We start from the raw sequence: 13,277 nt of genomic DNA on the forward strand, positions 1-13,277 counted from the left end.
CAGGAGTTTGAGCTTACAGTGAACAATGACTACACCACTGCACTCCAGCATGGGCAACACAGCAAGAGCCTGTCTCTAAAAAATAAACAGGCCAGGCATGGTGGCTCACACCTGTAATCCCAACACTTTGGGAGGCCAAGGCCAGTGGATCACTTGAGGTCAGGAGTTCAAGACCAGCCTAGCCAACATGGAGAAACCCCATCTCTACAAAAATAAAAAAATTAGCTGGATGTCGTGGCATCTGTAATCCCAGCTACTCGGGAGGCTGAGGCAGGAGAATCGTTTGAACGCAGGAGATGGAGGTTGCAGTGAGCTGAGATCGTGCCACTGCACTCCAGCCTGGGCGATGGAGTGAGACTCTGTCTCAAAAACAAAAACAAAAAAAAACAAAAAAGTAAAAATATATAAATGAATAAGCAAGCAAGTGAGCTAGCAAGTCATGAAGAGCAGACATGAAAGAACTTTAAATGCACACTACTAAGTGAAAGAAGCCAATCTGAAAAGGCTACATATACCATATGATTCCAACTATATGACATTCTGGAAAAGGCACAACTATGGAGACAGGAAAAGGATCAGTGGTTACCAAAGGTTAGGTGAGAGGAAGGGATGGACAGCCAGAGCACAGAGAATCTTTGGGGTAGTAAACCTATTTTGCATGATACTACAGTGGTGGATGCATGTCATTACATTTGCCAAAATCCTTGAAAGTACAACACCAAGAATAAACTCTAATGTAACCTAAGGACTTAGGGTGAAAATAATGTGTCAATGTGGGTTTATCGATTATAACAAATTATGAAACATATAATTGGTCTTCTTGCCCTTTCCTGACATATACCTCATAAAACCATTGGCACCTCTGGAGTGATGAGTATCTTTTACATGCTAATGAGATGACAGTGGCTGGACATCTCTAGATAGCTTCAAGGATAAGGGCTGGTCACCTGAAAGACCAAGGCATGATAAGAGGGTTGCCCCCAACCTCCAGAGAGGGAAGAGGAGCTGAAGGGTAAGCTGATTACAAATGGCCAATGACTTAATCAATCATGCCTATGTAATGAGGCTTCCATAAAAACCCGAAAGGACAGGGTTTGGAGAGCTTCCGGATAGATGAACACTTGGAGGTTCCAGGAGGGTGGCACACCTGAAGAAGGCATGGCATGCCCCTTTCCACATACCTTGCCCTATGCATCTCTTCCATCTGTCTCCTTTGTAATACCCTTTATGATAACCCAATAAATGTAAATGAAGTGTTTCCCTGAGTTCTGTGAGCCACTCTAGCAAATTAATTGAACCAAAAGAGGGAGCTGTGGTAACCCCAATTTATGGCTAATCAGCCAGAAGCACAGGACACAACGTGGGGCTTGCAATTTAAGTAGGGGATTGAGCCCTCAACCTGTGGGATCTGATTCTATCTCCAAGTAAATAATGTCAGAATTGAGTTAAAATGTAGGATACCCAGCTGGTGTCTGCCAAAGAATTGACTGGGTTGCTGGTAGATAGAAATCCCCACGCATTTTGGTGACCAGAGGTGCTGTGTTATACTGAGTTTGTATTGGTTTGATTTTTCTTATATCTCCTGTGTACTATTCTGGTAAGGAATGTTGACAGTAAGAAAGGCTGTGGGTTTGTGGGGGCAACAGGTATATGGAAACTCTCTGTATTTTTTTTGCTCAATTTTGCTATAAACCTGAAACTGTTCTAAAAAAATTAAGTCTTCCAAAACTAACAAAAAAAAAAACAGGGGATGGTACTCATGAACCAATAATGACTAACTGGCTATAAACAAACAAAACAAAGAAGTACAGATCTGGAAGGTTCATGTCAAAGGCACCAGAGCACATCCATGTGTACAACGGAAACCACTAACAAAATATGTAAGACTAAATTTTTTTTTTTTTTTTTTTTTTTTGAGACGGAGTCTCGCTCTGTCGCCCAGGCTGGAGTGCAGTGGCATGACCTTGGCTCACTGCAAGCTCCACCTCCCAGGTTCAAGTCATTCTCCTGCCTCAGCCTCCCAGGCAGCTGGGACCACAGGTGCCTGCCACCACGCCCAGCTAATTTTCTGTATTTTTAGTAGAGATGGGGTTTCACTGTGCTAGCCAGGATGGTCTCGATCTCCTGACCTTGTGATCCGCCCACCTCGGCCTCCCAGAGTGCTGGGATTACAGGCGTGAGCCACCACATCCGGCCTAAATTTGTTTTTGAGACAGGGTCTCTGTCACCCAGGCTGGAGAGCAGTGGGGTACAATCAGAGCTCACTGCAGCCTCAAACTGCTGGGCTCAAGCAATCTTCCTGCCTCAGCCTTCGTGAGTAGCTAGGACCACGTGCACGCACCACCATGTCCAGCTAATTTTTTAGAATTATTTGTAATGACAAGGTCTCACTATGTTTGCCCAGGCTGCAATCAAACTCCTGAGCTCAAGTGATTCCTCTGCCTCAGCCTCCCAAAGTGCTAGGATTACAGGAGTGAGCCACTGCACCTGGCTAAAAACTTTTTATCATGGTGGGAAAAGACCTCATAATTCAAATCCAGTTTCTGCAGCTATTTTTCTTCAACAGATGGAGAAAAATACTACTAATCAACAGTATCTCCTTGATCACAAATACATTTCTAGAGTAAATTAAATGACTGATTCCCTATCTGTTATATGGATCCTAAAACATAAAAATAATAACTAAAAATAGCAGGAGCAGATGCCTTTTACTGAGAGCCCATAAAGTATTGCACTGTAGATATATCTAATCTAACAATCCTCAGAGATTACACACTATATTACTATCTCAGAGAGATTAATTGATTTGCCTAAGAACACACAACTATGTAGTGTAACTAGGAATCAAATATAATCTTCTACTATAAAGTCTGTGCTCTCTCACTCTACCCCAATGTCCACATACCAAACAATTATAATAATAATATCTTCCATTGTAGCACCTCCAATGTATTAGGCACTGTATTAGGTACTTTACATAAATTATCTCCTTCACACTTCACGACTGCCTTGAAAGTCAGATATTATTAATTCCATTTTACAGATGAGGAAACAGAAGCTTATAAACTCAGTAACTTGCCCAAGGTCTCAAGATTCAAGCCAAGTTTCACTTTGCGTTATCAAAAGCTCACTTTCACAACTAAATTTAAAATTATCTTTACTATTTTTAGTCCTTTGGTTCTCCACACTACCCAGTTAAATGTGTATTATGTAATAATAAAGCACCTATGTGCTGAACATCACATTGAAGTCAAACAAACACAATTTTGATATAAAATAAATGTAATCATATAACTGTGACAGATGTTAACTGGTTACTCAAAAGGCCATTCCCAAATCCCTACTCCCTCCTTGCCTCTCATTACAGAGGCCAAAAGACGAAAACAGCTGGAGGTGACCATATGACCCAATTTTGGCCCTTGGAACATCAGAAGTGACTTGCTGGAATCACTAATAAGAAAGCTTTTCCTTGGCATAGTCTTTTTCCTTCTTCCTTGAATGTAGGTGGAAGGCTGGACCTGCAGTAGCCATCTTAAGACCATGAAAGGCCAAGCAAATCACAAATTCATAGGCCCCAACAATGTTGAACCATTAAAGCAACATGAGCAGCTGCCAACTTCAGATTTATGTAAGCTTTATAGTCAGGTTTTCAACTGCTTACAGCCTGATTCACCCATTATATATCACCATATCAGAAACTCCACCACAATTTTAACTGTAAGTAACTTCCTGGCTAATAATTAAAAACAAAGTCACATACTAGTCCTAAATTAGTCTGACAAAATTACAATCTCCTGATGAGGACTATTCTGAGTATTTGCTCAGGAAGCTGTGAGAAGCCTGAGCTGAGGAAAGAATGAGAGACAAGAATACAGAATCGGGGAGCTCCCTGGGCTCTGAATTGCACACATGGTAAGAGCCCAGACTCTCAAGATAATTACCAGAAGTATGTCATCAGAAGGGACACATCCTTGAACAATAATATAAGCCTTCAAGAGATTGGCGGGGCATGGTGGCTCACGCCTGTAATCCCAGCACTTTGGGAAGCCGAGGCAGGCAAATCACTTGAGGCCAGGAGTTTGAGACCAACCTGGCCAACATGGCAAAACCCTGTCTCTATTAAAAATACAAAAAAAAAGAGGCCAGGCATGGTGGCTCATGCCTGTAATTCCAGGACTTTGGGAGGCCGAGGCGGGCGGATCATGAGGTCAGGAGTTTGAAATCAGCCTGGCCAATATGCTGAAACCCCGTCTCTACTAAAAATACAAAAATTAGCCAGGCATGGTGGCGCGGCCCTGTAGTCCCAGCTACTCAGGAGACTGAGGCAGAAGAATCACTTGAACCCCAGAGGCGGAGGTTGCAGTGAGCCGAAATCACCTGAGCGACAGAGCAAGACTCCGTCTGAAAAAAAAAAAAAAGATTAGCGAGGCATGGTGGCGCATGTCTGTCATCCCAGCTACTTGGCAAGCTGAGACACAAGAATCGCTTGAGCCTGGGAGGCAGAGGTTGCAATGAGCTGAGATTGTGCCACTGAACTCCAGTCTTGGTGACAAAGCAAGGCTATGTCTCAAAAAACAAAAAAAGGTAAAATAATAATAATAATAATAATAATAATAACATGCTTCAAAACAAAAGCCCTGGAACGTCAAGACTCTTGTTGAAAAAAATTCATAGTTAAGGTATGATCAGGGTCTTGGGGTTACAGGAAAAAATAGTTTGCATTCAATAATAAATGTTTATAAAGTATAATATCCTTTTTCTTAGAAGATGCATGCTCAAGTATTTAGAGGTAAATTATGTTGTCTACAACTTACTTTCAAGTGGTTTATATAAAAGAGGATACATACATATTAGAATACACATATAAAGCATGGGAAAATGTGAAAAAATATTGAAATATCAGTGGGGGATATACAGATGTTCAACATATGTCTTACAACATTCTTGTACATTTGAAATATTTCATAATAAAAAGTTGGTGTTAATGTTAATTTCCTGGTTTTGGTATTGTACTACAGCTATGTAACTTGGTAAAGGGCATATAGGACTTCATTTTCATATTTTTATACCTTTCTGTGAATCTAAAATGATTTTCTTTTTTTTTTTTGGAGACGGAGTCTTGCTGTCACCCAGGCTGGAGTGCAATGGTGTGATCTTAGCTCACTGCAACCTCCGCCTCCCGGGTTCAAGCAATTCTTATGCCTCAGCCTCCAGAGTAGCTGGGATTACAGGCACGCACCACTGAGCCCGGCTAATTTTTATATTTTCAGTAGAGACAGGGTTTCACCATGTTGGCCAGGCTGGTCTCGAACTCCTGACCTTGTGACCTGCCCGCCTCTGCCTCCCAAAGTGCTGGGATTACAGGCGTGAGAAAATTATTTCAAAACAAAAAGTTAAAAATGTTGGGAAGATTTCTCGCTTGGTAAGATGAAGTAAATATATCTCCCTTTATCTTCCAGTTAACTATAACACTGGGATGGAATGCATGAACAGCTATTTGAAGATGCTGTAAAGTAAATATCACAGGTGGATCCAGGGAAATCAACAGAATTCCAACTATCCCCAAACTAGCTGTGAGTTTATCATTTTTTTCCTCTAGTATCCTCCAGCCTGAACTCAACACAACCTAAAACCCAGAAGTGAGCACAATGGTGCAGGCAGAGAGAGAAACAGAACCCTCTAGCTCTGGCTCAAGGCCCGTAAAGGGAACTCCTACAGCTCAGAGAAGATGAGGGAAATCCTTTAGGTATTTTTTTCTTTCTCTTTTTTTTTTTTTTTTTTTTTTGACAGGATCTCACTCTGTTGCCCAGGCTAGAATGCAGTGGCACAATCACAGCTCGCCACAACCTCAAACTCCTGGGCTCAAGTTATCCTCCCGCCTCATCCCCACAAAGTGCTAGGATTACAGGTGTGAGCCACTGTGCTCAGCAGCTTGGGAAAACTCCATACTCTCATGTGTCAGTCCCCAGGTCATCCATGGTGGGGGCAGCAGCAACAACAGAAGAATCTGGGAATGGAAAGCCTCCAGGAACAAAACTTTTGAAGGAAGGGAACCTTTCTCTCCATCCTGTGGAGCCGTGCCTCCAAGTGGGCAGGACAAACTCTGTTGTTTTGGGTTTTTTTTCTTCTCTCTCTGTCCATAGGAAAGTGACCCCATAATGTTGTTTATGAACTGCTGGGCTCATCCTCAACCTGTGTAGGTATGCATCTGATACCAATTGGCATAATAAAAACTCTGATAACTGAGATAATGAGTAGACCTACACCCAGATCCCAGACTGACCAATGGGTGGAACACTTGTGGGACAGATCTGAATAACACTGCCAAAGCTCAGAAAACTGAATTTATATGGAACCACAACCCACAGAAGATTAAAACAAAAATACCAATATTCTCCACAGAATATTAACATATTTTTGTTTTTTTTTTTTTTTATTATACTTTAAGTTCTAGGGTACATGTGCACAACGTGCAGGTTTGTTACATATGTATACATGTGCCACGTTGGTGTGCTGCACCTATTAACTCATCATTTACATTAGGTAAATCTCCTAATGCTATCCCTCCCCCCTCCCCCCACCCCATGACAGGCCCCGGTGTGTGATGTTCCCCTTCCTGTGTCCAAGTGTTCTCATTGTTCAATTCCCACCTATGAGTGAGAACATGCGGTGTTTGGTTTTCTGTCCTTGTGATAGTTTGCTGAGAATGATGGTTTCCAGCTTCATCCATGTCCCTACAAAGGACATGAACTCATCCTTTTTTATGGCTGCATAGTATTCCATGGTGTCTATGTGCCACATTTTCTTAATCCAGTCTATCATTGATGGACATTTGGGTTGGTTCCAAGTCTTTGCTATTGTGAATAGTGCCGCAATAAACATACATGTACATGTGTCTTTATAGTAGCATGATTTATGATCTTTTGGGTATATACCCAGTAATGCAATGGCTGGGTCAAATGGTATTTCTAGTTCTAGATCCTTGAGGAATTGCCACACTGTCTTCCACGATGGTTGACTAGTTTACACTCCCACCAACAGTGTAAAAGTGTTCCTATTTCTCCACATCCTCTCCAGCACCTGTTGTTTCCTGACTTTTTAATGATCACCATTCTAACTGGTGTGAGATGGTATCTCACTGTGGTTTTGATTTGCATTTCTCTGATGGCCAGTGATGATGAGCATTTTTTCATGTGTCTGTTGGCTGCATTAATGTCTTCTTTTGAGAAGTGTCTGTTCATATCCTTCGCCCACTTTTTGATGGGGTTGTTTGATTCTCCCACTTTAGCCTCCAGAGTAGCTGGGGTTACAGGCGTGCACCACCACGTCCAGCTAATTTTTTGTATTTTTAGTAGAGACGGGGTTTCACTATTTTGGCCAGGCTGGCCTCCAACTCCCGGCCTCAAGTAATCCACCCACCTGGGCCTCCCAAGGTGCTGGGATGACAGGAGTGAGCCACCATGCCAGGCCTCATCTTGTTTTTAAATGCAAAAAAAAAACAAAAAAAACAAACTCACTCCTGTCATCCCAGCCCTTTGGGAGGCCGAGATGAGCAGATGGCTTGAGTTCATGAGTTTGAGACAAGCCTGGGCAATACAGCAAAACCCCATTTCTACAAAAAATACAAAAATTAGCCAGGCATGGTAGCATGCTCCTGTAGTCCCAGTTACTCTGGAGGCAGAGATGAGAGGAGCACTTGAGCCCAGGAGGTGGAGGTTGTAGTGCTAACTGCACTCCTCCCTGGGCAACAGAGCAAGACCCTGTCTCAAAACAAAACAAAAACAAAAACAGCTTTCTCAATTACTGTAACTTCTGAACTAAAATATATTGTTTCACAAAAATCAGTCAATTCTGATCATTCGCAGTTGAGAATTAACAAACTTCTGATATTGCCTCTATTGACACACTAGGTGGTTCAGTTATTTTCCATTATAGAATTTTACCTGCAAGTACTAGGGAAATAGTGCTGAACCGACTCTGTTAAATTAAACTCATTATGATGTAAATCACTTTGGAATGAGAAAGTATCTAGATAGCAAGAAAATCTTCTGGGTCTTCTGCTTCCTAAAGCCTATTGTCCATTCCTATAGTGCACAGACCACAATCACATGTGATGTTTACAGAATTCTCTAAAAATATTTTCCATCACATCCAGAATTTGAGAATTACCTATATTCAAACCTGCCACAGGCAGTTTATATAACTGGTAGCAGTCAATAAGGCAACAAAATACTCTGTAACTTTGCAGTTTTCTCATCCCACTGAAAAAACTTGGCCGGGCGTGGTGGCTCATGCCTGTAATCCCAGCATTTTGGGAGGCCGAGGCGGGCAGATCACAAGGTCAGGAGATTGAGACCATCCTGACCAACATGGTGAAACCCCGTCTCTACTAAAAATACAAAAAATTAGCTGGGCATAGTGGCACATGCCTGTAGTCCCAGCTACTCGGGAGGCTGAGGCAGGAGAATGGCATGAACCTGGGAGGCAGAACTTGCAGTGAGCTGAGATTGCGCCACTGCACTCCAGCCTGGGCGACAGAGCAAGACTCCGTCTCAAAAAAAAAAAAGGAAAGAAAAAACGTTAAGATATTTACCAGAAATTTAGCAGGTAAGACTGTACAATCCTGAAAAAGACTTCCTTTAAAGAAACAGAGACAGACAAAACAAATTTGGAGGTATATAATGATAATATTGGCACTCAGTCCTCAAATTTATATTGGAAATCAATTTCCCAAATAATTATCAAATTATTCAAACAAACAAGAAAAAAAAAGACCCAAGTAGGCTTTGAACTAACGTGTTCTTAAAAACAACAACAACAAAACTCCAAACTACAAATCTTATTTTTCATCTTGTTTATAAACTTTTGTCTCTACTTTTGATTGTAGCAGTATACTGTTTTGTTGACACAAAAGAAAATTCCAGGCTGGACGCGGTGGCTCACACCTGTAATCACAGCACTTTGGGAAGCCAAGGAGGGTGGATCACCTGAGGTCAGGAGTTCAAGACCAGCCTGACCAACATGGTGAAACCCCGTCTCTACTAAAAATACAAAATTAGCCGGGTGTGGTGGCACAAGCCTGGAATCCCAGCTACTCGGGAGGCTGAAGCTGGAGAATCACTTCAACCCAGGAGGCAGAGGTTGCAGTGAGCCAAGATCGTGCCATTGCATTCCAGCCTGGGCAACAAGAGCAAAACTCCTTCTCAAAAAAAAAAAAAAAGAAAGAAAGAAAGAAAGAAAATTCCAAATCTATTTCACTTTATTTCTGTTTAGACATCTTATTTTCAATATCATCCTCTACTACACAAGAACACATCAAATTCTTATTGAACTCATACACCATAATATCCTGTAAATATTCCTCTTTTTCATATATTACATGTTATTTATATTCTTTATCTCAAAAGTAATACAAATTGTGGCAGATATTATCCAAAGATGCCTACAACGTTAGATTCCATCCCATATGCTCTTCTTACAATATGATGTTGATCCTTTCAAGTGGTGGGGTCTATGTCCACAGCTTCCTTGAAACTTGGGAGAACCTTTACAACTACATCAACCAGTAGGACAGAGCAAAGTAACACTATGTGACTTCCAAAACCAAGTCAAATATGCCATGCACCTTTGCCTTCCTCTCTTGGGATGCTCTCTCTCTCGGAACCCAGGCACCATGCTGTGAAGAAGCCAAGCAGCCACAAGGAGAAGTCACATGAAGGTGTTCTTGCCAACAGCCCAGGCTGAGGTCCTAGCCAACAGCCAGCTTTAACCACCAGATATGTGAGTGAGCAAGCCTACCTTCAAAGGATCCCAGTTCCCAGCCACTGAGCCACTCCAACCCTTCCAGCCACCCCACCTCATGCTGTATGTTAACAGAGACAAGCATCCCTACCAATCAAGCCTTGCTCAAACTGCAAATATATGAACAAAATAAATGACTGTTGTTTTAAGCCACTAAGTTTGAGGTACTTTGTTACACAGCAATAGATAACTGCAACACAAGCTCATAAATACAATCTGGAAAACAGACAAAAAGAAAAACAATTTTAATTATTCTAAGTTTTACCATTATAAAACATTTTGACACACATTTTACAATTAAGGAAATGTTTCACCCTACCCACCTAAGATTCCAAGTGATTTTACCAGGACAAAGGGTTATATTTGTAAAGGCAATAAAATGTTTGCATCTAACTACAAACTGGAAGAAAGACTGTTAGCTTTCAATCCACTTTGCTTATCCTTAAGTATCTCTTTCACTTACTTGTCCTAAGTGAGGCGTCTGAGGATTGCTGGCCCACCAATATTCCAATCTATGGATATAGATCAAGATCTTGAATTGTAACAGTGGCTGCACTGGCACTCTTCCCCGGAAGAAGTTGCTTAAGCCTCAAATCTGAAATTTTCAAGGAAAGAAAATCTTAAATATACATATCTCCTTTCAATCACTTAAAATTTCACATCTATAGTTGAGTAAGGACTGATGGAGTTGGTTACGATATATGGAAATGAATGCACAGGTTTCACTAAAAATAGAGTTGGCCTGTGCAATTCTTGAAACAGGGCAAAAATAATAACAATTTTAAAAACTGAGGTGGATAATATGGGTTCAAGTTCCAGCCTTACATTCTTAAGAGCTATACGATCTCAGTTAAGTCACAAATTCTCCGTGCATAAGTCTGATACTGTGATGAAGACTGAGGGAACCAGATCAAAATTTTGGGCTAGGAGTCAGAAGACCTGGGTTCCAAACTCAGTGATCATTCTCCCTTGCTGTAAGAACTTTGATACGTCTCTATGGGATTGATTTTATCATCTCTAAAAGGGGAAGGTTGAATTAAATAGTGGTTGTTCAAATCTAATTCTTGAACAGATGCGAGCCATGACTAAAAACTATGTATAAAGTTACCAATTATGCTTACTATGAAACTGTCCTTCCTACATTTTTGGTGTTAAAATGGCTTCTTTTATGAGATTATGTGAAAGTAACAGTAGATGGTAGCAGTTGTTGTTTAAGTTCTCCATAGCCAAAATAAAGAGCTGTAATTCTATGTAAGCAATCTATAAATTCTTTTTAGAAATTCTAGTGTCTGTATGATTTACATGAACTCTAAAATTCCTTATACTTCTAACAGCCTACATACTCACTATTCAACTAATATTTATTAGGTAACCAATATGTAAAGGTAGTCTACTTGTTGCTGGGCTACCCAAAACGTAAGATTAGTCCCTCCTCTGAAAAGCTCCCAATTTTAATAGGGAAATAGACACATATATCTCAAATACAACATAAATGGGTTAAGTCTTCTAATACAGGTTATGAATCTTATAATATATGGGAGGAAGAATGATAGGATGGATTTTGTTTTGTATTTTGGAGACTGGGTCTCGCTCTGCCTGCCAGCCTGGAGTGCAGTGGCGTGATCTCGGCTCACTGCAGCCTCAATCTGCCAGGCTCAAGCGATCCTCTCACCTCCACCTCCTGAGTAGCTGGGACTACAGGCATGTGCCATCATGACCGGCTAATTTTTGGGGGAAAGTAGAGGGTGGGGGTGGGGGTGGGTACAGATGAGGTCTCACTATGTTGCGCAGGCTGAATGAATGAGTTTTACAACTTAGTAAACTTTTAAAGTGAGTTTTGTAGTCGTAGGATGAGTTAATTATAACCTCTTTAAACCTCAAGTTTATTTGCAAAATAATAATGATTGCAGATACCACAGAATTGTGGTAAACAGATAAGATGCTATAAGAGGCCAATCCAAAAGGTGAAAATGTTCAGCTCACACACCTTCCAGGAGACAAAAAAAGAAAAAATCATTTTAATAACGACATGGTACAAGTTATTTACAAAACTGTAAATATGTGTTTGTTTAAAACACTATAAAACTCAGTAGTGCTTTTCTTCACTAGCTTCTAAGCAGCTGAAGGTCATAACTAAGTTTGCTCCACTTTATATTCCTAGCATCTAGTACAATGCCTAATAAATAGCAGGTATCAATAAAGTTTATTAGAAAAAATAACGGAATAAATTGGTAAACGGCTAATCTATTTTTACAGAAATTAAAGTTATAGTAGCTAAAAGTAAAAATTCTTAGAACTTTTATCCAAAACTAATTTTAAATGTGTATTTTGTGCCCACATCTGTCATATTGCTATCTGAATATACATGCATGTTTTAGAAGCAAAATAAATTCACCAGACAATGCAATAGTGCTGTTCCTGAATAAGAAGACAAGCAGCAATTAACTTTTTTTTTTTTTTTTTTTTTTTGAGACAGGGTCTTGATTTATTACCCAGGCTAGAGTGCAGTGGTACAATCATGCCTCACTGCAGTCTCAAACTCCTGGGCTCAAGTGATCCTCCCACCTCAGCCTCCCAAGTAGCTAGGACTACAGATGCATGCCACCATGCCCACCTAATTTTTAAAAAATTTTTTTATAAAGACAATCTCACACAGGCTGGTCTCAAACTCCTGGGCTTAAGTAATCCTCCCACCTTGGCCTCTCAAACTGCTGTTTACAGGCATACACCACCACGCCCAGCTGGGCAGCTAACATTTAATGGGGACTGATTATTTGCCAAAAGCTCTTCTAAGCACCTCCTATGGATTATCCCATTTAATCCTCAATAACTCTCATGAAATTGACTATTTTTTAAAGAGATGAGGGGTCTTGGCTGGGCACGGTGGCTCACGCTTGTAATCCCAGCACTTTGGGAGGCTGAGGCAGGCAGATCACCTAAGGTCGGGAGTTTGAAACCAGCCTGACCAACATAGAGAAACCCTATCTCTATTAAAAATACAAAATTAACTGGGCATGGTGGCACATGCCTGTAATCCCAGCTACTCGGGAGGCTGAGGCAGGAGAATGGCTTGAACCCAGGAGGTGGAGGTTGCAGTAAGCCGAGATTGCACCATTGCACTCCAGCCTGGGCAACAAGAGCGAAACTCCGTCTCAAAAGAAAAAAAAAAAAAAAAAAGAGATGGGGTGTCTTGCTCTGTTGCCTGGAGAGCCGTGATGATCATAGCTCACTGTAGCCTGAACCTCCCAAGCTCAAGTGATCCTTCTGCCTCTCAGCCTTTCAAGTAGCTGGGACTACAGACATGTGCCACCATGTCTGGCCAATTCTTCTTATTTTTTTATAAGCAGGGTCTTGTCATGTTGCCCACACTGGCTTCAAACTCCAGGCCTCAAGTGTCTTCCCACCTTGGCATTACAGTCATGAGCCACTGTGCCCTGCCAAAAGCAACTATTAAATATTCTCATAACTAGGAAAAC

The 13,277-nt window shown here is 41.1% G+C and overlaps 1 protein-coding gene across 5 annotated transcripts in view; it reads right to left on the reverse strand.

The window, feature by feature from the left end:
• NUMB (NUMB endocytic adaptor protein) overlaps positions 1-13,277 on the reverse strand; it is a 183,331-nt gene that overhangs the window by 124,457 nt on the left and 45,597 nt on the right. For all 5 annotated transcript variants that reach the window (NM_001005745.2, NM_003744.6, NM_001005744.2 and 2 more), the window contains one exon: positions 10,265-10,396. The gene's annotated coding sequence lies outside the window, so the exon portion shown is untranslated. The remainder of the gene's footprint in view (positions 1-10,264; positions 10,397-13,277) is intronic.

The sequence above is a fragment of the Homo sapiens genome, chromosome 14 (assembly GCF_000001405.40).
Source record: "Homo sapiens chromosome 14, GRCh38.p14 Primary Assembly".
NCBI classification, from domain to species: Eukaryota; Metazoa; Chordata; class Mammalia; order Primates; family Hominidae; genus Homo; species Homo sapiens.